The sequence below is a fragment of the Homo sapiens genome, chromosome 14, assembly GCF_000001405.40.
Source record: "Homo sapiens chromosome 14, GRCh38.p14 Primary Assembly".
NCBI lineage: Eukaryota > Metazoa > Chordata > Mammalia > Primates > Hominidae > Homo > Homo sapiens.
Window position 1 is genome coordinate 54,034,711 of NC_000014.9, and position 26,867 is coordinate 54,061,577.

Sequence of the window (26,867 nt, forward strand, 5' to 3'; positions counted from 1 at the left end):
ATAGCTCACTGCAGCCTTGAAATCCTTGGCTCATGTGATCCTCCTAAGTAGCTAAAACTACAGGTGCATGCCACCACATTTGGCTAATTTTTTTTTTTTTAAATATGGGGTCTCTTTACATTGCCCAGCTGGTCTCAAACTCTTGGCTTCAAGCAATACTCCCATCTCAGCCTCCCAAGTCACCAAGATTACAGGTGGGAGCCACTGAGCCTGGCTCTTGGCCATTATTTCTTCAGACATTTCTTCTGCCCTATACTCTCTCTCTCTTCTGCTACTGGAAGTCTAATTCACATATGTTTTATTATGTAATGGTCCACACCTCTTAGATGCTCTGCTCCACTTTTTTCCCCACTTATTTTCCTATTTTAGATAAGTAATTTCTATAGATCTACCTTCAAGTTTACTCATCCTCTTCATGACACTCTTGAATTTATGTATTATGTGCTTTCTTTGTGTCTGTTACCATATTTTCCAATTCTAGCATTTCCATTTGATTCTTACCTAGAGTTTCCATTTCTCTGCTGAATTATCCATCTGGTCTTGCATGTTATTCATTTTTTCCATCAGAGCCTTTGCCATATTATCATAGTTATTTTTAAATTATTTAGCACATAATTCCAACATATCTTGTCATATCTGTGTCTGGTTCTGATGATTGTTTTGCCTCTTGGAAGCTTTTTTTCTTGTCTTTTTGTATGTTTCATAATATTTTGTTGAAAGCCAACATCTTGTATAGGACAGCAGAACTGAGTTCAATAGTTTTTATCCCTGGAAATGGGCACACCTTTCTTTCCTCCAAAATTAGAGGTGGGGAGCCATGAGGTGTTCATCTATTTAGAAATTGGGCTGGGTTTGAGATTTATTGTTGCTATATAACCCTCAGTGCCCCCACAGGATCCAAAATCCTCTAATGATACCTTTTCCTTGGGTTGGGAACTTGTTTACCAGATGGGTGTTTTCAATGTCTGCTCCCCTTCAGTTTTCTGTCTTCCCTTTAAACTCTGCCTTAAAGAGAGTCCTCTCTCGCAAGTTGCTTGTTACTTAATGCCTGTTAGTCTAGCAGAGGGGAATGGGGCATTCTCAGTTATTGTATTAAACCTCAGTCTTAGGCAAGAACCATATTCCTTGGTTTCAGAAGTGTCCTTCTCACTAATTTGCAGCCCAGTTTGTATTTCTGCCTCTCCTGCAGAGGTAGAGAATTTTTTTAGTTTCTTCTCAAAGCTGCAATGGGTTTTCAACAAATCAGGAAATAGTGTTTGTTGTCCTTCCTGTCCCAGAATGAGACTTGTCCCATAAAAGAAGATAAAGAAGGAGGGTCCTGGTAGTGTTTAGTAGCCTCCTCATAGTGGTTGCTGTTCTTCTTCCTCGCTTCAGCATCACAAGGAAACTTTCCTAATGTTTTCTGTGAGCAAACAGTGGGTTCGCTGAAAAAAGTCTGGCAATAATATGTAGGCTTCCTTATATTTATAGCCCTCCAGAGCCTTCAGCCTTCTCTTACTGGTTGCACTCAGCCTCCATCAACATAGTGATTGCCCTGGCTGAACTTAATCTTACCATTTCTCAGAAATACCTTATCCCAGTAAGCTAGTGCTCATGTCACATCCACCCTTGTCTCTCCTCAAATTTTGGTCCAGCTGAACTTCTGGACTTTAATGTGTTCAAAAAAGTAGTGAACTTGCTGCCCATCTGGCTTTTTAAAATCATTAAGTTTGGGTGTGACATTCTTTCAAGCCCCCTACATCCTCAAGTGGAAAACCAACCTTTTAATTTTAATATATCTATGTCTTTATATTTAAATGTATCTTTAAACAGCATGGGGTTGAGGGTTTTTTTAAATCAATCTTATAATTTGTTCCTTTTAATTACATCTTTTTGTGCATTTAGATTTAATATGATCATTAATATGTTTGGGTTCAATTTACCAGCTTGTTATCTGTTTTTTTGGTAACACTTATTTTTTGCAACCTTGCTTCTCTTTACATGCCTTCTTTTGTATTAACAAAGTATTTTTAAAAATATTCCCATTTATATCTTCTACAATATATCTACCCCCCCAACTGTTCTTAAGATTTTCTTTTTATTTTGGTTTTCAACAATTTGACTATGATGTGAATAGGTATAGTTTACTTTGTATTTCTCATCTTTGGGTTTATTAATCTTGAAAAAATTTCAGTAATTATTTCTTTATTCTTCTGACCATTTTCTTCTATTTTTCTAAAACACCAAGTATATCTGTATTAGACTTTGTGATATTTTCCACATTTCTGATACTCTGATTTTTGTTTTTCAGCCCTTTTTTCTTCCCATTGTTTCAGTTCCTATTCCCTCTGTGCAAGTACATGCCCTTTCTACTGCAGTGTCTAATATGGTGTTCATCTTATCCAAAGAAATGTTTCAGACATTTTATCACGAAATTTTTAAATAATTTTAAAATTTTTACAAATAATATACTCACCATCTATATTCTACAATTAGGATTTATTGTAAATACTTTATCACATGTTTTCATTAAAAATTGTTTTCTATCCATCAACCTATCTTATTTCTTTTTTTTAACTTATATTTTAAATGCAGAGGTACAGGTGCAGGATGTGCAGGTTTGTTACACAGGTAAACATGTTTCATGGGGGTTGGTTGTACAGATTATTTCATCACCTAGGTATTAAGCCTAGTATCCATTAGTTATTTTTCCTGCTTCTCTCCCTCTCTCCACCCACCACCCTCCAATAGGCTCCAGTGTGTGTTGTTCCCCTCTATGTATCCATGTGTTCTCATCACTTAGCTCCCACTAACAAGTAAGGACAAGCAGTATTTGGTTTTCTGTTCCAGCATTAGTTTGCTAAGAATAATGGCCTCCAGCTCCGTCCATGATGTCCCTGCAAAGGACATGATCTCGTTCTTTTCTATGGCTGCATAGGATTTCACAGTGTATATGTACTAAATTTTCTTTATCCAGTCTATCGTTGATGGGCATTTGGGTCGATTGCATGTCTTTGCTATTGTGAGTAGTGCTGCAATGAACACATCTATGCATGTGTCTTTATCATAGACGATTTATATTCCTTTGGGTATATACCCAGTAAAGGGATTGCTGGGTCAAATGGTAGTTCTGTTTTTAGATCTTTGAGGATTTGCCACACTGTCTTCCACAATGGTTGAACTAATTCACACTCCCACCAACAGTGTAAAAGCATTGCTTTTTCTCCATAACCTCATCAGCATCTATTATTTTTTGACCTTTTTTTTTTTTTTTTTTTTTTGAGACAGAGTTTCACTCTTGTTGCCCAGGCTGGAGTGCAATGGCCCAGTCTTGGCTCACTGCAACCTCCGCCTCCCAGATTCAAGTGATTCTCTTGTCTCAGCCTTTCAAGTAGCTGAGATTACAAGCGCCCACCACCATGCCTGGCTAATAGCCATTCTGACTGGTGTGAGATGGTATCTCATTGTGGTTTTGATTTGCATTTCTCTAATGATCACTGATGTTGAGCTTTTTTTTGCATGATTGTGGGCTGCATGTATGTCTTCTTTTGAGAAGTGTCTGTTCATGTTCTTTGCCCACTTTTTAATGGGGTTGTTTTTTTCTTGTAAATAGTTTAAGTTCCTTATAGATGCTGGATAACAGACCTTTGTCAGATGCACAGTTTGCAAAATTTTTCTCCCATTCTTTAGGTTGTCTGTTTACTTTGTTGATAGTTTCTTTTGCTGTGCAGAAGCTCTTTAGTTTAATTAGATCTCATTTGTCAATTTTTGCTTTTGTTGCAATTGCTTTTGGCATCTTCATCATGAAATCTTTGCCTGTGCCTATGTCCTGAATGGTATCACCTACTTTTAGTTTTAATGCATCTTATTTCTTAACGCATTTCACAGTTGCAGATATCAGTATACTTCTTCCCATCAAGTATGTCAGAATACATATCATTTACTGGGGTTCAATGCTTGTTTGAACCTCCTCTCTCCCAGCTTACCTATCTTCATCCTTTAGGATGCTATTCAGGCCTCTCTTTCCCTAATCTGGTTAAGGGTCCCTCCTCTGTGTTCCAGGTACACCCCATGCACATATTTTTTAATGCATATCTTTATCCTTGTACTTACTACATTCCATTAGAATTAGTAGTATAAAGTTCTGCTTCTCTTGCTGGAATATAAAGTCCCAAGGGCACAAACCAAATCTTATTCTTTGTACAATAGGACCTGGCACAAAGTATGTGCTCCATAAATATTTGATGAATAAACAAATGAGTGAAGAGTTGCCATGCCCACACAAGGTAAAGTAATGCACAAGTTATAGCGGTCAAAAAAGAATAGTGAAATCCTGGTGGCAGCAGCTGCATATAACTTTCCTATAGTTGAGAGTACAAAAACCATGTTCTGTAATAATTGGGTCTTTAAGAAAGTACAGAAAGGATGTGAGAGATTCTACAGCAAAAAGATGGGAATTCAGGAAGGATAAAGTCTAAGGACAGACAGCAAATGTTAGGTATAGAGAGAAAATAAACAGAGCCCAGAATCTGAAGTGACACTTCTCCCGATATCCAAGATTTGACTAGCTTATTAATTATAAACCACTACTAACTTAAGAAGACTTCATCTGCATTATGCATGTTGTAATAATCAACATATGGGCAAAGACAGCTCTTAGTAAACCTACATATAGGTTCATTTTTGTTTCCAAATGAATGCCTCTTATTTTCAATGTCCTGAATCAAATATCCCACAATATACAGTCTGCAGCAAGATGCCCTGGCAGATGCTAAACTTGATTCCGTCTACCAGGTCCCCATTCACACAGAATAATTATGTCCAGCTGGAGCCCTCCCTGATTTAGTGACTTACGTTGGTCAGTCTTACAAACATTAAAGAAACAGTCTCTTATTTGGGAATCCCAGCTGGCCTTGTTGCAGCATAGAACCTCTTTATCCAAAAGGAGTTTAAACAAGAAAGAAAAAAAGCATTTTATGATTAACTACTTCCCCAGCAAAACTGCTTTCTGAAAGCACATATTTTGAAGGTTTTTACCTATGCCATCTTATCAAGTTGAAAATTACAAAAACAACAAATATCCATAGGATACTTTAAAAAAAGGATGCATAATTCTTTCCTGTGTGGATATAAAAATTTATTCAGCAAATCCCATATTGATAGTTCTTCAGGTGGTGATGCCAACATTTTGCTATTGTAATAAATGCTACAGTGAATACCTTTCTATACTCATTACTGCACTTTTATGCTATCTATTAAAATAAATTCCAAGATGTGAAATTTAATTTATGTAGGCCTCATATCTAGCAAAATCTACAACATAGAGTAAACATAACAATGAATTGACACTGTCCAAAGAAAAAGCCTTTTTGGTTTTACAAGCTGAGTGGTTATGTAAGTTTCCTTAAGAATAAAAAAGCAGCTTAACTTTTCTTTAAAAACCCCAAAACTCTAGACTCAGGTTTGCAGCACTTAGAAGCTACTGGGTGAAACTCTCTTGAGACTTGGGTCAGGGACTCTCCTCTCTGTAGATGAAGATCTGCTCTCAAGCAGGGGCTTGGGAGATAAATAACTTAGGACCCATAAGGCTTACGATTCCCCACAAATCTTTCTTTTCTACCTGAAAGAGTGGAAAATACAGAATTAAATAATGGACATCTGTTTCCTCCATTTGACTCTTCTTGGATTAAGATGCTGTATTTTCTAATTGTTTTCCTTCCATTAAAGAGCTGACTTCCCCTGCAAGGTGGAATAAGGGGAGGTCTTCTTTTAGTCTTTGCTTCTGAAGTTTGGTGCTTCAGGATGCTTGCTGCATCGTGAGGTGACCCTCACCCAAGCCTTTCATGTGTTTGGCATGCTTAATTTAATCAATCAGATCACCACCAACCTGAAACACAATGATGAGGATGTGTTCAGACTGTTCTGGAATTCTGTATATGTCAATATGGGGAGACTATTAGACCAAATTCTTTGCTACACATACACAACCTTTTAAAGTTAGGTGTATATGAAACAAAGTTATTTTATGAGACTATGCATTATGATATTCCTCTAACATCAGACTGTAAATAAGAAAAAAAATTTTTTGGAATAATTATTGTTGCTCTTCAGAAGGTAGTTAGAAGGGAAGTAGAAAGACAAGAAAATATATTTTAGCTTAAGTACTCAAACAGTTTAATTTTACTTAGATACTTACAAGAAAAAAAATTAATTTCAGGTGACATTATGGAAGGATTCATAAGAGTTCCTTGTCCAAGGTTACATACAGTCAATTAATCTTCCTGGGTCTTGGATTCCTCATCAATAAATGTTGGACTTAAGCAGTTTCTAAATAACCCTCTCACCCCAAATTCCATGATTCTATGTATTTGGAATGGAATGATTCATTGCTTTACAGGTCATATATCTCTTCAGGAATGCAAGGAGTTAAGAAAAAAAAATCTCAAGATATAAATATGGACTTTTTGTGAACCACCAATAATCTATATTTACTTGCAAATGTCCCACAAACAGCTTATTTGTATAATAATTTTACAAGTGCTTCAACTTAAGAAATCACTATTCTATCAGTATGTATTTAGTACAGCAGGAGTTGGAAGAAAACATTCATATTTTTTTCTCAATATTGAAGCGTAAGGGCAACAAATTTGGAAGGCTGGAGAAATCTGGACTTAGAACCACAGATAGAAAAACTTTTACTTATTTAAGTATGAGGTTATGTCTAACATGATCTACTTAATTTCTTGTGCTACTTTATTACAGTGCAGTTGTTTTAAATGCTGATTTTTAATTGTTCACTTATTGATTTTCCACCTCTCTGTGACATTAGCAAATTCTGAACATCGTATCTAGTTGTGTTATGACCCAGTCTGACTGCTTTAGACCCAGTATGAATAAAGGGGGCACGATGCAGTGAAAGAGCACCAAATAAAGCCAGGGAGACCTGGATTACAGGCTTGTTTCTGTGACCTTGGACAAACGGATTAACCTTCTAGGTCTCAGATTCCTCTTATTAAAATAAAAATATTAAATTGCTTAGGTTTCTTCTTCCTTTAAGGTTCTATGTTTCTATGAATAATCTGGTCAATAGTTCTTCTCACTGCCTGTTAAGATTCTAATTCTAATACAATGTATTTACAATCAGCATTTCTTGCTTTTACATTACCAATGACAATAACAACAACACAGCAATCATCCCTATCTCTTCTGGCTTTTGAGTGTCCCATTTGCAATTATAGCAACCAAACCCAGAAACATGAAGGCTCACAAATAGAACAAAGAATTAGAAAAAAAATTTCAGGAACAGATTTTCCCACCCAAGGAGAAAGAACAGAAATTAGTGAAGATTCTTGATTGCATGTTGCATTAACCTAACTCAAACAAATGTAGGCAAATTAAGAGAATTTATTAGCTCTCAAGAGCAGAGGATTCAGAGGATTAATCTGGCTTCAAGTACATCTGAATCGTGGATCAAAATGGCAGTATCAGGGCTCTGTCTCATTTCCTACTTCTTTGACAGGTTCCCTCCATATCACCACAGTGACTGGTGGAAGCTGAAGAGGCAAATTCTATATAAGTTTAATAACACTAGGAGAGAGAAACATGTTTTGTTTTGGTTATTTCCCCCAAAGAACTCCCACAGAAAGTTCCAGGGAGGAATAATTTATTGGTCTGGTATCCACCCCTGCATCAACCCGTGTGGCCTGTGGGATGGGTTCTCTGATTTATTAGGCCCACTTAGATGATATTTCCACTCCTGTAGCTGGAGGTAGGAGAATAGTCAGTCATATCAAACCCATATAGAATGGGTTAATCATAGGAAAGAAGGGTTTTGTACACTGAAAAAGTGGGGAAAGGGTGCTAGAAGGATCACAAATAGAAGGCCACTACAATAGATTTCTTCTGAATGCCAGTTCAAGGACAGGTGGCCGTTACCTGGGATGATGAGTAATGATAAAAATTATTCTGAGCTATGTAAAAGCTTAGTAAGAAAGAGTGTGAAAGTTGATTAGCAATATTTGCAGTGGATATTGGAGTGAAAAATGGAGATATACAAACCATATAGTTGCTGTCCTCGTCTAGGGTGAAATCATGATTCAGTTCCTACTTAGTACAGTCAGTTCAACCACTTAGTCTTCAGAATATTATGGGATAGGCCCTTCTTTTGTAAATTTTAATTTATTGATGCTTGTAAAGCTCCCCAGATTCTTAGAGACAGTGGCCCCCTCTATGACCAAACATTTAAAATTTTATCTGAGGTCATGTTGGCATTTAAGATATAGAAAATGACCCTAGCTATCAGATATTCTCAAACAGGAATATACATCAGAATCACCCAGACAGTTATTTTAAAATACATATGGCTAGCCTCTATCCCCAAACTTTCTGATTCCATAGGTCTTAATAAGGGCCTAGAAAAGTGAATTATGATCATAGTATATGAAAGTTATGCATGGTCATAGTAAAAACAAATAAACAAAACAGGCAGAGGAGTACAGCATGAAAAGTTAAAGTCCCTTTTCTAGTAGAGAATTGGGTGAGGGATAAGGAGAGGGGAAATATTCCTTTGTTCTATATAAATTTCTATATTGTTTAAACATTTTTAATGAGGAGCCGAATTTTTTTTTAATTTTACAACGATAATCTAAAACACTTATTTCAGCCATTAACTACAATATCCATCTCAACCAAATTTTCTTCACTGAAACGATTTTAGTTGCAGGTAACAAAAACAGCATAAAAGATTTTTAAAATTTCTTTCAAAGACTCACTCCCCTGAGGTAACCTTAATGAAAGTTCATATAATATTTCAAAAGCTTTCTATAAATAAAAGCATATATCTACATTTTTAAAATGTACAAACCCATAAGTATATATGTCTTTTATTATATATAATCTGCAGTTTGCTTTATTCACTAATTGTCTTGGTCTCTTTCCCATATTTGTATAGGATCTACCCATATTTGCATAAGATTTACCTCCTTTTAGTTGCTTCATAATATTCTAAAACTTTTTGTATTTACCAAGACACTACTTGGAGTAAAAGTCACACTTAAGCTCTAGGGATCATATCCATCTGGATCTCTTTATATGGCATCCCATGGCTGGTATTAAAACCTAAGGGCTTGTGAAACTTGTTGAAGATTCTAAGACCTTGCTTGGCTTACCTACTTCAGAATATCTGCCCATGGAAGCCAAACAGAGATGCGATTCAGAGACAACAGGATGGATCCTCTCTCTATCTGGACTTCTCTTTGTCCTGGAAGCTGCAGTGTGATTCTGACTGCTCAGTGAAGGCACAGGCAAGGCTGAGCACATTCGGAGGGACAAAGTGTTTAGAGCTTTCTGCAAAAAAGAATTCCCTAAGCATAAAGTACAACCCCAGGTATTTTACACACATACACACAACACACATACATGCACATACACACACCCAGGATCTAGACACTTCCCGATGAGACACAATGTTGGGCATTCTTAACCATGATGAAGATTTAGAAATTAACAAGGGAATGCAGAAACTTTCTCAAGCTTGTGTTAGGGTACCAAAATTAAATTTATGGCACTGGGTGTGGCCAATTTCTAATCTATGGAAGGAGAGAATATGATAAATAAAATCCCCAGATAATCTAAAACACTTCTTTAAGTCAGTAACCACAACATCTGTCCCTGAGACCATTTTACTTGTTGGTGACAAAAACCAACTCCAACTTAAGTTTCGTTTGCTAAAAAAACAAAATACAATATGGGTAAATAATTATAACAATACAGAGTTTCCCACAGACACCTGAGGACAGGAATTTCAAAAGTAACCAGAACCAAGAACTGAAAGGCCACAAGTTTCCTAGCAGGACTCACTCCACTTCTCATCCTCTTGCCTCTGCTTTACTTTTTCTTTTTAATCTCCTCCATTTCCCTCTCTGCAGGTCAGCATTCCATCAACCCTTGTGGTATGATGGGTACTTCACTGATTCTGAATTTCCACCAACTTGGTTCCAATGGCATGCTGTCTCTAATGAATTATCTGTAACACATTCTGATGTAGGTAAACCAAGCAAGGTCTTCATCAAAAGTTTCACAGGCCCCTAGCTTTCAATACCAGCCATGGGATGCCATATAAAGAGATTCAAATGAATATGATCCCTAGAGCTTAAGTATGGCTTCTTACTCCAAGAAGTGTCTTAGTAAATACAAAAAGTTTTAGAATATTATGAAGCCACTAAAAGGAGGTAAATTTGGATTTAAATTCCAAATTCTTGAAGAAAGAATTCAACTGGCTCAGCCTGGGTCAAGTGTGTTCTCTAGTTCCATTCAAACTTTGTCAGAGAAGATAGGTTCATTTAATAACGATACAGCAGGTAAAATTTCCTGGGTGCTAACTGCACTTTATAAGCATTACCTTTACCTTTGCAGAGCCTTTGGGAATCTTCCTTATTAGGACCCTGAAACAGTTATCAAAAAAAAAAAAAAAAAAAAGAGGATGATTGTGAGTTGTGCAGATTTTCCCAGAGCATGAGAAAATTATATGCAGAAAGATACATATGCATATAAAAAGCTAATTTAAACTTTACAATGCAACTCAATAATGTCATAATGGGAATAAGTTCAGGCTTAAAATACAAGACACCTGAGCTCTCATTCTAACTCCAGCAAGTTGTGTGGCTTGAACAAGTTCCTTCACCTGTCTTCTCAATTTCCTTTTCTTTCTGTGAAATCATGGCAATAATACACACTGCATGAGAGTATACACACAGTAATTAAGTACTGTGCTGTTGAGCATTTAAATGTTAACAAATATGAGTGCTTCTTCTTTAACAATGAAGCATCCAGAAGGGGTACATACCAGCAGGAAGGAAAAGAGAGAGAAACAAAGTGCCCACTTGCCCTGGTGGGTATTACCATTATACAACACCATTATATAATCACAAGAGGTAATATTTATCAATTTTTACATATATTCTATTGGGAAACTTTCTCAATATAACTGAGTATTATTATAGTAACATTTGAAGGCACAGAGAGTTTAAGTAACTTGTCCTAGGTCACACAGTTCATAAGTAGGACTGGAGACTAGACAGTCTGGCTCCATAACTCATGTCTTAAGCACTACTTTGTACTGCCTTCGCCATCGATACAATAGCATATTACCCACACGTGTTTCTGAAGCAGAGAGGTGTCTGTGGATATACCACCACAAAGAGAAGACGGTGTGGCTTCAAGATTTCAAACTTGCTAGAATCCCCCTTGTTTACTCCACATGAGCCCTTTAATAAGTTACCTCATCAGAATTAATGGATTGTTATTCTTCCCGATCAGTAGTGTAAACCGTAAACTTTGAGACGGTTTGCCTACCACACTTAGTTTAAGATTTAGAAGGTTTACTTGCAAAAGCTCTTAGAAGCACCCATGAATAAACAAGAGTGAAAAGTTAAACCAAGGACAGACGTTTTTATTTGCACTTTTTTTTCAAATCTATCCAAACAACAAGATTAGAAAATTTTCCCTGACACCATAGGCAAATGCTTCTTCTCCAAGTACAGAACAGCCTGTTGAAGACAGCAGTCACATTGTTGTGGTAACTGATGAAATTTATAAACGATGCACAACTTCATATTTTTGCCAGGTTTTACTTTAAAAGAGTCCCAAAGAGCAAGACAATGATAAATAACAGTGAAGGGTGATGACTTCTGAGAGCACTGGACAACATGGTAGCAGATGCCATTGGTTGGCTAGTCCAACTCCCATTTGCAAATCCACCTCCTCTGGCATCCTCCATTAGAGAGGCTAGAAAAGCCAAATATTTGCTTTTCTGCTCTCTTGCAGTGAGGGTTGTCCATGTGAGAAAGTCTGATTCCTATTGAGGTAAAAGCGGACGTCTCCAGAGGCTTCTGGCAAAGTGTTTCTTTCCTGACATAAAGGACATATGCCACAAGCATCACCCCTGCTGTGTCCCCTTTTTTCTGCCTTGGGAATAGACTAGTGTCTAGAGCTGTGACAGCCACCTCATGACCTCAAGAGAAAGGCCAACAAGAATTGGAGAAACACTGACCTTGGTATTTTTGAGCTCTTAACTACAAACAGTTGCTTACCTCCAGAGGAATGCTTGTAAGTAAAATAGTTTAAGTCTCTTAGTTAGGCTTTCTATTGATGCCAAAGGAATTCCTGTTGATACAATGTGATTGCAGACACTTTAGCCCACCTTTTGTCACCTTTTAATTCTACACCTATCTATCTGTCCCTCAGAAATCTCCCAGCAGTTTGGTTAAATAAACATTATTTAATCAAATCACTGAAATGATTTATAGAGCACAGCATAATCAAATGAATCTTCTTCATAGTTTATCTCCTAGTTATAATAGCTGTTTTAATATAACTTTAGTATCACATCCTTAATAGTACAAGGAGGGGTGATATAGTCTATTATTAGCCAAACTTTCTGTTAGTCCAATACATACATGGAGTCCAAAAGAATACACAAACCTGTCTTTTACTTTGGGCTTGAATTGTATCTTTCAACTTTATGAGTTCATGGCTGAGAGGCATGTTCATTCTGCTCCACCTTTCTCCAGATCTTAAAAATTTATGGGTCTTCCAAACAAGCCCTAAAGAGCATCACCCATGTGGCGACCCCTCTCATAGGCACCCGGAAATCAAATTCTTCTTCTTTGGACCCCCTCCTCCTTTTCTCCATAGCTAGAGATGAGCGGAAAGATTAATGCGAGCAAAATGACACCTATTGATTAATAACATTGAGTGCATAGTAAAGGCACTCAAAAAACTTTATTAAATGGTAAGTTAAAATGGAGTATCTTCCACAATATAGGGGCTTCTATAGAGGCTTTTTCGAGAGGGTGGTTTAAACAGAGGCATCAATATTGTTTGTGATTTAGCCAAGTGCAGAAGTAACAAGGGGAACAGGCCAGAAAGAAAGGCAGCATGAAACAAGATGTCTTACAGGAACAAGAGTAGTGTATTGGAAAGAAACAGGAATAATTTGGTGTGCAGAAGTGTGGAGTGTGAAGCAGAGGCATTAGCAGGAATCAAGTCAGCATGGCCCTTAGCAATGGGGAAATGTTGAAGGATTTTAAGAAGAAAATTGGCATTGCTTTGCATTTCAGCAAAACCACTTTGGAGACAGTTAGGGCTGTGGATTCAAGATAAGAGACTGGATCAAGGAAGAGAGGCTTGTTATGAGTTCCTCGAGGAACAAGAGGCCGTGAGATTTAAACTAGTTAATCCACTCCCAAACGCACTAAGTATAAATTTCTACATTTCAAAGTACTCTACAGTGTTGACTTCAAGTCAACCATGTGCTGAGTTATGTACCAGCCAGGCAGTGTAAAGAAAGGCTGTCCAAAGTTCCCCATCCTTTCACAGAAAGGGAATGTGACAACAAAGACCAGAGAGGGGTCTGACTGTGGGATGAGGCTGAACCTAGCCCTGAGCCTAAGCCAACCTCCAACCCCTAGCTGGTACTCCAAGGGAGGTCGTCCAGTTCTTTCCCAACGGCTCAGCCTTTATCATTCTGACAGGGACTCCAAAGCCCAGAAGAGCCCTTACCAAGGTCACACAGTGAGTGACTAGCTAGGAATAGTCCTAGTGGTTCCTGGACCCAATTCCATGCCCTAAATACCAGATGACAAAACCCGCTGCATAAAAATAGTTCAATTAAAATCTAAAATAAAATCGTCACTTACTCTCGAAAAGAAAGCTAGCACAGTATTTCATGAAAATGTCATGAACCTGAATGAAACTGTAATTTGGGAAGTTGTAAAAATATGGTTGCACCATTCTGAGGGCCAACGCCTATCACGTGACCCTGAACCGCGGGCTCCGCCCTGCTGTTCCACCTTGCCTGGCTTGTGCAAGGCTGTGTGCAGAAGGAAACGAGAGTGGGAAGTCAGCTACCCAGGATGGTCCATTTAACAGCTGATCTGCTGGGACCAGTGCCTAAGAAGTTAATTTCTAGCTTTGAGATGGTTTCTGGTAATTGTAGGTAATTTAAAATATAATTGCAATTTAGTTAAAAAAAAAAAAAAAAAACTCTGTTTGCAGTGTTTATGCTCATCACTCTAATTTAAGGTCTAGAATGTTGGATGAACTGCACTTGAGTACACGCTCATTTTGCGTCTTCCTGATTTTACCACCAGTGATTATAAAAACAGCCTCAGCAAACTCAGTCTGCATTGCAAGACAGATGCTGCAAAGTTCAGATATAAAGTTTCACATTTCCGGAAGGTTAACTATTGAGCATGTTAATGATTATTGAAGAGATGAAGAAAACCACAAGGCTTCAAAATGCAAACACCTCTCAAAAATATCCAGCTTCCTCGTGTTTATAATAAAGCCACCTTTTTTTTTTTTTTTTTTTCAAAGAAAGACTATGGTTGAGTTCAGTGTGGTCTGCATATAGGCTTAATGGAGGAATAATTACACGAGGCTGCTTGTGAGTAGGCCAATGGAGCTTGCATCTGGGTTGTATGTTATAAACTGCTCTGTGCTAAGCCAGGGCATCTACAGCTTTGCAAGGTTCACAGAAATTTCTTACCACAGTGACAGCATATGTTTTAAATGCAGAGAAATTCTAAGATCTATTGTGTGTGGATTTATACAGAATTTTCAAAATAATCCAAAATATAGGTAGGACAGCTACTTAATGGCAGGCATCTCAGCAATCAATTTACATTCCAAAGCACCATCATGGGCCCAATCAGCCATCGTTGCGAACCTAGACAAGTGGAGCTAAATGAGAAAACAGCTGAAATGAGCACTCAATCTAATAACCTCACATACAGTCTCCCATCTCCCAGCTTGCAAAACTTAATAGAATGGAGCTTAGGGCTGAAGCAGTACTGCATTGCACAGCAATTACACCATGTTAACACTGGCATTGGAAATCACTTTCTGAATTTGAAAACTCAGAGTCAGTAGTCAGAATTTGCAGCCCTAGTGTAAGAGGCCTGCCTTGAAACACAGGCCCAAATTAAAGTTGACCACCAAATAACACTATTTAGATAGTGGAGATTGTCTGCCTACCAAGTTTTAAAATGGAACCTAGAAGTTTAATGATTGAGAAAATAAAATGTGTTCCAAGTTAGTCTGGCTTCGCTGATACTGGCTTGGGAAAAAAAAAAAAGCCTTTTATTTTTAATGATTTATTACATATACTTTAAAAAATTCAAATATTACAAAAGTGAATATTAAATTTTTCTCCAACCTCAAATCTCTGTCTTCTAATCTCCTTCTCTCAAGATAGCCCCTGTTATCAGTTTTCTGAGCATCTATGCATATCTAAGTATGTCTTATACGTGCCACATACACACAGTGATGGCTCCAGAATTTCTACTAGAAGAGACTTAGGGGCTGCAATCTGATTGGATGTGAGTATGCTGCATAAAGCTGCATTTGCCTGGTATTTTACATAAATGAGAATACATAAATTTGAGCACTAAAAGAAATAAGTATAGCAAGGAATTATAAAGCATTGAAAAAATAGGAATTCACAAGTCCATACCAATAATAGTAAATAGTAAATAAGTGAGGGAAACCATGGGTTGCAGTGAAATGTAACAGCTGTCTGGTGAATGTGAAAGAGTGCCGGCACTGAAAGACCTTTACTTCACAACCATGATAGTAAAGATTGGGTCAGACAAGACTCATGAATGAATGCTACACCTACCAGGAAATTTTGATGAGAACCAGGATATTTGCATCATTTTAAAGTGCCACCTCACAGACTGCTTATTAGTTCCATGAGTGGGGAGTCAGGGGCGGAGTGGGGGGGGCGGTGATAAAAGCCCCAGTTTTATAAAATTGAAAATTTGGACAATATCTTGACTAAGTCATTGAAATTAACATTACCACTGAAGAACAAACATGATACCCTGAGAAGGACACATCACCTATGCAGTTCTCTGGCCTAGAATGCATAACTTCAATCTAATAGGACTGTATTCATTAAAAATGTCAATGTGATAAAAGACAAAGGCTGGGACAATGTTCCAGACTAAAAGGGGCTAAAGAGACGTGATAACCAAATGCAATAGTAGATCCTAGACTTGGTCTGGTTGAGGAAGAGAAAAAATTCTTCTAAAGAATATTATTAGATCAATGTACAGAATTGAAATACAAACAGTAGATTAGATTAAAAAAGCAATTGCAGGATTAATTCTGCTGCTTCTAGCACACAACCACCCCACCCTCATTCCTGCCAAGCTCCGAGTGGCCACACTCTTCAGGAGTGCTTGAACTTCTGCCCACAAAGCTCCTTCTTTGCCCAGGGAACCCGGAGGTGGGAAAGCTGGCGCAAGGTGCTTCTGCAACTGGAATTAAGTGCTGTTTTAAGTTTTGTTTCAGGATCTGGAAGTTTAGACTAGGTCAATGATAGAGGCCAAAGAGTAAAGCTCTCATAGAAACTGCAATACAAATTCCTTTCTGGTCCCCTCTGACCAGCTTATGCTAATCTCACTGAAACCTTCATCTTACCCTCTTTTTTCTGTTCATTTTAAAGCCAAACTCCACTCAAGGAAAGAATAGTACATGGCAAATGTATGCAGGTGGCTAATAATTGCTTGGTAAATAAACAAAAATGAATGAATGAACAAATAAGGTATATTTAGGTAGAGCTCTGATATCAAAGACTATTAGTATGATTTATGAGGCAACAACAAAAAGAAATTTTTTTTCTACCTTAGCTCCTACTGAGTTGTGTTTACTTAAGTAATATAGTCATTTTCCTATATTTACTTCCAAATTAAGATACCTTTCTGTTTGAACTAGTATTAAGTCTAAGACTACAATCCTTTAAGGGACACATGGCAACACAACATTCTTGTCAGCTGGCCTTTTCATCAGATAGATGAAAATAGGAATTTAAACCTATAATATTAGGACACTATTAGAATTGTACACTCACATGGAACCTTGAGATAAATATGCATGTGAGGAATACGGGACAGAAACTGGGAATGATTATGAAGAAAATAAAGGTTTGGGAAAAGCAGAATCCATAATTCAGCTTGGCAGAGACAAAGGAAAGTGAGTTAACACTCATCAGGCCCTTGGGATTACCCTTCTGTCTGGGATGCAGGAGGAAGCCAATGTGGATGAGGGACTGGTGGCGCCAGGTGAACATTCACAGCTAGGCTCTCCAGCCCAGTGATTTGGGATATTTGGAAATTTGTCCCCAAAGGCAAGAAAAAGTACAAGCAGAGAAGTTAATGTTTCTTAAAAAAAGAACAAGCATACAAATGTCTGTGGATCTAAGGGAAACGGTCTTGCAAGGGTATCTGGCCATCCTGAACACCCAGCAACCATTCCCATTTTTCTATCAGCACTTTGATTTTATGGTGGAGAAATAATCCTTTCTCTACTGAATGCATTATGCTGGGGCTGTCACTCAATTTGTGTATATCAGGTACCTGGCATGTGTAGTAGAGATCAATAGATATGTTAGTTGAATGAATGAATGAATGAATGTGCCGAGCTTTCTTCTTGTCAGGCCAATGACACAACTTTCTGCCAAACATTTGGATCTTAAGTATAATGTGGAGACTAAAAAAATGCCAACAGCAGATTCATTCTACTAGAGATGTTCTAATGACAGATCACCACTCATTTTTGTTTCCTAGATCTAGGACTTCTCTGTCATAGTTTCTGTCCTTTCTAAGTCAGATGACTAAGCTTTCTCTTTTATTCTAAGAACTATCATATATCCTTCCAATAAACTCTTCCTCTGCTTAAGTTATCCAAAGTTCATTTCTGCTGCTTATGAACAAAGAACCATGACAGACACACATTTCCCAGGCTGCCCCTATGGAATATGCCAATTATTATCTCCAAATATGGGCTTAGTATAATAATAAGATGGTTAGTGGAAGTTTATGGGTTTTTTCTTCTTTTTTTTTGCTTCCATGTGTCTCTGGGTGATCTCTTTAAATACACTCAAGGACAAGAACTTGAGGAGCTGAAATAAGAAATGTTAGTTATTTGCATTCCCCTGCAAGAATCCCTTATTATTGTGTCTAAAAGTATCTGTTGTTCAATAGATGTTAGAGTTACACATATTTATGTTCAGATGCCACTTATTTTTAGATTAATTTCAAAGGATATATTTACAATTTACCCATTTCCAAAGCCCCATCTCAGCTACTGCAAATTTTCCCTGCTTTTATGTCCAATCAACAATAGCTCGAAGCAGATTTTACTTCTCAAGTTTCAACTAGTTATGTAAAGAACAAATCTAAACAAGCCCTCACCCCATCTCTTTTAAAAAATATAGTTTAAACACCAGATTTTATTTAGCAGCTTAGTTTCTTTTGAGAGAGAAGCCTCTAGAAAATGTGGTTTCGATTTTGTTTTCAACTGGTTATTTTTTCAGTACTTAAAAAATATCCACTGGTACTTTTTATTGTTTTGCCATGATTTTAGTGCCTAGGACAGTTCTGAGCACCTAACAGATGTTAAGAAATAGTAATTAAATTCATGAACAAGGAAATGTTTTGTTATTTATTGTGGGGCTATTTTGGTTGAATCATCACTAAGAGGTGGCTAAAGGGAACCTATTGCATAGCCATCTGAAAGTTATAGGGCACACTTATCACAGCAAATTGCTATTTTTGATGCTTCCACAAACTTTCCACAGATTTTTTAGTGTCCTAAAATGGTTTCATATAGAAGGAAAGCCTGAACTGCTGCCTCAGACGACCCTATGGTAGGATTTATATTCCACAACTCCCCCTGCCTAGGGACCCCACCCTTGCCCTCAGCATCAAGCTATAAGTCTAGACTTTATCTGAAACAACATTCTTTCTTGGCTCCTTCCTCTTCCCGATCCTATTTCTCTTACTACCTTATAGGTTTTTCTTGAAGAGCAGCCAAGTCCTCAGGCTCTGCATCTAGTGAACCCAACCTAAGACAGTAATGTGCTACTAATCTGAATAGAAATCTTATATAACAATACCTATGAACTTTGTTTCCTTTGAATTTAAAATTTTACCAAAGATGTTGATAACTGCAAAGGATATACCATCATTGTACACAATCAACACAGACAATGACAACTGTATTGAGGGCCTTCTATGTAGATGCTACCTCCCTTGAATTTTATTCACAATCTTCTTCAGTAGGCATTACCATTCATTCCTCCAAAATGAAAAAAATATTAAAAGTCAACATATTAAATAACCTATCCAAAGTCAGACAAGGAGTACACGACAATGGATTTGGAGTGTTTCCTGAAAGATTTCACAGGTTGATCATAAATGTCCCAAAACACTATGAAAGAAAATGACAATGTCTAACTTCCTGTTTTTCAGTACTTGTGGAATAAAGCATAAGTAGTCAATTCAGAAATGACTGATTTAAGGCTTACCCATGAGATTTAAAGCAGATTTCCTTTTTTAAAAAAAATCTTGTCTCAGCCACATTAAGTCCTCTGTTAATTACCAAAAACGAACCAACCTCTCCATAGTCAAAAAGATGGAGCGATGTTGTTAAAATAATATTTTAGTTTTAGAATAAATTGAAATTCAGAGTAAGGAAAAGAGCACATAGCCCACTCTCAAACAAAACTACATATTGCCTTTATTAGGAAATGACATAGAGTAATTATAACCAGCCTCATAGGCTGTAGCCTCAGATATCCACCTTCCTCTGAATAGTCTGTGTGCTTCGACATCAGTGAGTTATCTTAACTTTTCTTTCTTTTTTAACTTTGATTTTAAGTTCAGGGGTACATGTGCACATTTGTTATATAGGTAAATTTGTGTCATGAGGGTTTGTTGTAAAGATTATTTCATCACCCAGGTATTGAGCCTAGTTCCCATTAGTTATTTTTCCTGATCCTCTCCCTCCTCCCACCCTTCATGCTTCGATAGGCCCCTGTGTCTGTTGTTCTCCTCTTTGTGTCCATGAGTTCTCACCACTTAGCTCCCACTTATAAGTGAAAACATGCAGTATTTGATTTTCTGTTCCTGCATTAGTTTGCTAAGGATAATGGCCTTATCTCAACCTTTTCTAAGCCTACTTTTATGTTCAGGCTGGCCTATCTCCTAGGATAATCATCTCCTAAGTTCCATTCCCATCAAGAAAAGCAGCACTACACGAATGCAACCCTAATAAAGCCAAGATACATATTGTTCAGTCCCCATATAGGTCATATTTTAAAAAGGACAGTCTGAGGGGAAAATAAGTCTCAAAGAAATTCATGTGTGAAGTGAAATAGGCCAAACACAAAAGGACAAAAATATTGTCTGTGTCCACTCATATGAGGTACCTAGAATAATCAAATTCATACAGGCAGAAAGTAAAATAATGGTTACGGGGGCTAGGAGGAGGGGGAATAGGAAGTTAATGTTTAATAGGTAGAGTTGCAGTTTGGGAAGATGAAAATGTTCTAGAGACGAATAGTTGTGATGGTTGCACAACAATGTGAATGTACTTAATGCCATTGAAATGTATACTTTAAAAAGGCTGGGCCGGGCGCGGTGGCTCACGCCTGTAATCCCAGCACTTTGGGAGGCCGAGGCGGGTGGATCATGAGGTCAGGAGATCGAGACCATCCTGGCTAACAAGGTGAAACCCCGTCTCTACTAAAAATACAAAAAATTAGCCGGGCGCGGTGGCGGGCGCCTGTAGTCCCAGCTACTCGGGAGGCTGAGGTAGGAGAATGGCGTGAACCCGGGAAGTGGAGCTTGCAGTGAGCCGAGATTGCGCCACTGCAGTCCGCAGTCCGGCCTGGGCGACAGAGCGAGACTCTGTCTCAAAAAAAAAAAAAAAAAAAGGCTAAAATGAGAAATTTTATATTGTGTATATTTTATAATTTTTAAAAAGAAATTCAATGTTTTCTTGCATCTCTTGAGAGATGCTAATGAGACTCTAATCTATAATATTCCCATCCTTGTCATGTATTTTAAAAACTCTCTTCACAATTAGAAGAACTAGAGAAGCAAGAGCAAACACATTCAAAAGCTAGCAGAAGGCAATAAATAACTAAGATCAGAGCAGAACTGAAGGAGATAGAGACACAAAAAACCCTTCAAAAAAATCAATGAATCCAGGAGCTGGTTTTTTGAAAAGAACAACAAAATTGATAGACTGCTAGCAAGACTAATAAGAAAAGAGAGAAGAATCAAATAGATGCAATAAAAAATGATAAAGGGGTTATCACCACTGATCCCACCAAAATACAAACTACCATCAGAGAATACTATAAACACCTCTCCGCAAATAAACTAGAAAATCTAGAAAAAATGGATAAATTCCTGGACACATACACCCTCCCAAGACTAAACCAGGAAGAAGTTGAATCCCGGAATAGACCAATTTTCTCAAAGCCCCACACTCACCAACATCATTCTCTTCCAAACCCACCCCCAAACTTCTTAATACTCCACTCTGATCACCACTTTGTATCTTCCCCTTTTCTTCCCTTTCCTCATGAGCCCGCACCATTTAAGCACACAAGAGATAGAACCTCTATCCAGGGGAAGGGAAAAGAAAAACTATGAGCAAGCAAGTTCCTCCGTAGCAGGCAGGAGAAGGAAAAAGTCTAGAAGTAGTCACCAATAGTAATTTAATTTCATCGCACTCATTTTAGCCTATTCTTAATCTTTATCTAGCTTCAAGTGCTTCTAATCATCTGAGACTTGGTGAATGAATCTGCATTTCACCTTATCTATTGACATTTATGATTTCAGTCTTCATTCAGATCATGCCTTAGCCCCTTGTTTATCACGGGTTCACAAACTGATTAGAGGTTTTAGCAGTAGTTCTCAACTTTTGCTGTTCATTAGAATTACCTGGGGGAGCTTTTAAAAGTTAAGGCCACAACCCATACCAACTCAATCAGTGGGATCCAGGTAACTGTATTTTTTAAACTTCCAATGTGCAGCTAAGTTTGATAATCAGTGTTTTAAGGAAGTGCATCCCAAATTTTAATGTGCACATTAATTACATGGAGATCCTGTTAAAAGATCTGATTATGATTCAAGAGGTCTGGGAAGGAGCCCCAAGATGCTGCATTTCAAATGAGTATCAAGGTAATGCTGAATTGACTGTTCCTGGACTCCACTATGAATAGTGAGGCTTTAGGGAACAAGAACCATTCAAGTTTCCTTTCTTAATGGAGCATTTATTACAGTAATACACAGCCAGTGATGGTGAAGTCACAACTGAGCCTCCCAGCAAAAAGGGTCTGAAAGATGGCTTGAGCCACAGCTGTGGTGCCCTGGAGACTGTAGCTGCACCTCAGTTGCAGCTCTGTGTGCGTGCGTGCGTGTGTGTGTGTGTGTGTGTGCTGATTCCACTGCTCTTCCTCTGCTTCTAGGTTGGTCTAGGTGGGAGCCCCAAATCAGCCACTTCTAAATTCAGGATCTTTAACAAGTTATTCGATTCTCTAACCCTCAGTGTCCTGACGTGTAAAATGGGGATAACAATGTCAGCTATTTCACTGGGCTTTCGTGAGGATTAAGTGAGATACTTGTGTACAGCACTGATATAAGGCTTGCCATTAAACATGTCTGTCTTTATTTCTGCCCTGGCTGTCAACAAAGAACCAACTTACTAATTCACTCTCTACCTCAAATGTCTGTTTATTGGATTCAGCTAACTGGTGGCTTCGCTCTATGCACTTTTTACCTCTGTCCCCACTACCAACTGCTGACTCCTTATAAGTCCAGGTTTGCATTCCTCAGGAGTGGATTTGATTGGTTCAATCAGTCCATCCACTATAGGCTATCCCAGTAGGACTCTGTGTTTGCACAAAGCAATCTCTGTGGTAGAGCAGGGTGAATGTATGGATTGGCTTCCTTTGGTTGCGATTTGACTTATACTAGGCTACAGTATAATTTATTCATAAGAAACCCTCAGAAAGAAATGGGCATATGGCAGGCAATCTAAGGCTCCTTGGGAGAGGACAGTGGAGGTACCTTGCTCAACTTGCCTAGTACACTCAGCAAATATTTACTGAACATCTACTGTGTGCAAGGCATTCATTGTAGCCCCATTCTTGAGATCTGGGCCCATCTGTGTTTCTTCGTTCTAGATAGGAAGAGTAAAACACCCAGAGTTCCATTCCTTTTTGTACAGATGGTAAAAGAAAAATACCAAGATCTTTTCTCATCGAATACTGTTTTTGGTTTGTAATGAATTTTGTGCTCAGAACTGCTACTCCAAAAGGAACAAAGATAACCTCTCCAATTCTCAGAATTTGGTACGGGGATAATAGCTAATATTGAATGCTTATGATATACCAGGTAATGTTCTAAGTGCTTTATGTGGCTTAACTCATTTAATCCTCATAACAACCCTATGATGTAGGTATTATTATCCCCATTTGGCAAACGGGGAAACTGGGGCTAAAAGATGGCCAAGTCATACAGCTAGTAAGTGACAGTGCCAGTTCCCAGCTCCAGTGGCCTGCTCCAGAACCTGTACTCTATCTGCACTTCACTGTGCAGTGTCTCTGGCCCTCTCTACAGTCTGCTCAGATTGATGGTGGCACAGCTGCTACATCAACATATACCCACCTTGTTTTTTGCAGAGATGTCTCACAAATGGTAACATTCTCATGTATATACAATGGAAATATATATAATACCTGGCCTTCTAGCAGGGAGCTAAAAGGATATTAAAAGATAAACTTGCAATGCCTACAGTTTATGTCAAAAAGCAAATCATTCATAAACCTCAGTATTATTACTATTATTTGGAACCAGTAACAATTAAAATTTGCTGCTTTCTTGCATATATATGTCATAGGGACTTTTTGTGGTTGCCTAGCATCTGAAGCTCACTCCTATTTTGGGGAAGAACCCACTGTGTAACTTCCTAAAGACCAGATTTTTGCTTTCTCTCTCCTCCTGTCAAACCCTCTAGGCCAGACATGTGACCTAGACTTTAACCAGTCAGATTTTCCTGCCCAGAACTTGAATACCAAGAAGTAAGGTGAGTGGAAGATTCATTCTGAGGACACAGCAGAGGGCCGCAAGGCCAGTCACACCAGCATCAGGAACCAGGAGCAGCTGCCGCATTACATCTGCCAACTGTTGCTAGGCATGATGTTAGCTGAGGCCTGCTGCCTAGCTTCTCTTTGTATTAGTTTCCTAGGACTGCAATAACAAAGTATGGGCATACCTTGGAGATACTGTGGGTTCAGTTTTAGACCACTGCAGTAAAGCAAAAATCATGATATAGCAAATTGCACATTTTTTTTTGTTTTCCCAGTATATAGAAAAGTTACATTTACACTGTAGTGTAGTCTATAATTAAAAATACTTTATTGCTAAACAATGCTAAAAATCATCTGAGCCTTTAGAGTCATAAACTTTTTGCTGGTGGAGGGTCCTGCCTCAATGTTAATGGCCGCTGACTGCTCAGGGTGGTAGTTGGTGAAGCTGGGGTGGCTGTGGAACTTTCTGAAAATAGGGCAAAAATTGAGTATGCATATCAATTAACTCTTCCTTTCATGAAAGATTTCTCTGTAGCATGAGATGCTGTTTGATTGCATTTTGTCCACACAAGAACTCTTTTAAAACTGGAGTCAAACCTCTCAAACCCTGCTGCTGCTTTTCAAATAAGTTGATGTAGTATTCTAAGTCTTTTGTTGTCATTTCAACAATGTTCACAGAATCTTCAGGAGTAGATTCCATTTCAAGAAACCACTTTCTTTGCCCATGCATAAGAAGCAACTCCTCATCCATTCAAATTTTATAATGAGACTGTAGAAATTCAGTCACATCTTTAGCCTCAACTTCTAATTATAGTTATCTTGCTATTTATATCACATCTGGCTTCAGTGGAGGAAATCTTGAACCCTCAAAGTTGTACATGAGGGTTGAAATCAATTTCTTCAAAACACCTATTAATGTTGATATTTTGGCCTCCTCCTATGAATCACAAATGTTCTTAAATAGCATCTAGGATGGTAAATCCTTTCCAGGTTTCACATTTACTTTGCCCAGATCCATCAGAGGCTATAGCCTTACAAATGCATTTCTTAAATAATAAGACTTTAAAGTCAAAATTACTCCTTGATCCATGGGCCACAGAAAGGATGTTGTATTAGCAGGCATGAAAACAACATTCATCTTCTTGCACATCTCCATCAGAGCTCTTAGGTGACTAGGTGTGTTGTCACTGAGCAGTCTTATTTTGAAAGGAATCTTTTCTCTCTGAGCAGTAGATCTCAACGGTGGGCTTAAAATACCCAGGAAACCATGCTGAGGAAACCATAGGTGTTTTGCCATCCAAGGTTCATTGTTTCATTTATAGAAAACAGGCAGAGTAGATTTAGCGTAATTCTTAAGGGCCTTAGGATTTTCAGATTCATCAATGAGCATTGGCTTCAACTTCAAGTACCAGCTGCATTAGCCCCTAACAAGGGAGTCAGCCTAGCCTTTGAAGCTTTGAAGCCAGATATTGACTCCTCCTTTCTGTGAAAGTCCTAGATGGCATCTTCCAATAGAAGGCTGTTTTTTGTACATTGAAAATCTGTTTAGTGTAGCCACCAGCATCAATAATCTTAGCTAGATCTTCTGGATAACTTGTAACATTTCCACCAGTGCTTGCTGTTTCACCTTGCACTTTTATGTTACGGAGATGGCATCTTTCATTAAACCTCACGAACCAACCTCTGCTAGTTTCCAACTCTTCTTCTGCAGCTTCCTTACCTCGCATAGCCTTCAAAGAATTGAAAAGCATTAAGGCTTTGCTCTGGATTAGGCTCTGACTTAAGGGAATGTTGTGGCTGATTTGATCTATTATCTAGACCACTAAATTTTTCTCCTCATCACCAATAAGGCTGTTTAGCTTTTTTATTCATGTGTGCACCAGAGTAGCATTTTTAACCTTCTTCAAGCACCTTTCCTTTGCATTCACAACTTGGATGTTTGGTGCAAGAAGCTTTCAGCCTGTCTCAGCTTTCAACATGCCTTCCTCACTAAGTTGAATCATTTATAGCTTTTGATTTCAAGTGAGAAATGTGTGGCTCTTGGAACACTTGGAGGCTACTATGGGGTTATTAATTTGCCTACTTTCAATATTATAAGGAAATGGCTGGTCAGTGGAACAGTCAGAAAACACACAACATTTATCAATTATGTTTGCCTTATTACATGGGTGTGGCTCATGGCACCCCAGAACAATTACAACAGTAACATCAAAGATCACTGATTACAGATCACTATAACAGATATAACAACAAGAAAAAGTTTGAAATATTACAAGAATTAACAACAGTTTGAAATATTGCAAGAATTAACAAAATGTGACACAGAGACATGAAGTGAGCACATGCTGTTGGAAAAATGGTGCCGACAGACTTGCTCAGCGCAGGGTTGTCACAAACCTTCAATTTGTGAAAAATGCAATATCTGCAAAGTCCAATAAAATGAGGTATGCCTATACCACTAACTGGGTAGCTTTAAAACTACAGAAACTTGTTTTCTCACAGTTCTAGAGACTAGAAATCTGAAATCAAGGTATTGGCAGGACCCTGCTTGCTCCAAAGACTCTAGGAAAGATCCATTTTTGTCTCTTCTAGCTTCTAGGGCTTGCTGGCAATCTTTGGCATTCCCTGGTTTGTGACAACAAAATTCCAATTTCTGCCTTCATCTTGACAGGCCTTCTTCCCTTCTTTGTCTCTGTGTGTAAATCTCCATTCCTTTCTCTTACAAAGATAACAGTCACTGGATTAGGAATCATACTAATGTAGTATGACCACATTTTAACTTGATTATATCTGCAAAGACTCTATGTCCAAGTAAAGTTACCTTGAGATATCAGGGATAAGGAGTCCGCCATATTTGGGGCTTAGGGTGGAACACAATTCAACCCATAACACCGATATCCCTGCCAAGTTTCTGGATCCGGATCTCCATCCATCCCAG

At 38.1% G+C, this 26,867-nt stretch overlaps 1 long non-coding RNA gene across 2 annotated transcripts in view; it reads right to left on the reverse strand.

The window, feature by feature from the left end:
* Positions 1 to 9,169: 9,169 nt before the first annotated feature.
* Positions 9,170 to 26,867, reverse strand: part of LOC105370507 (uncharacterized) — a 144,575-nt gene continuing 126,877 nt past the window's right edge. For both annotated transcript variants that reach the window (XR_943883.3, XR_943882.3), the window contains 2 exons: positions 10,385 to 10,421; positions 9,170 to 9,324 (listed from right to left, as the gene is read on the reverse strand). This is a non-coding gene — a long non-coding RNA (uncharacterized LOC105370507). The remainder of the gene's footprint in view (positions 9,325 to 10,384; positions 10,422 to 26,867) is intronic.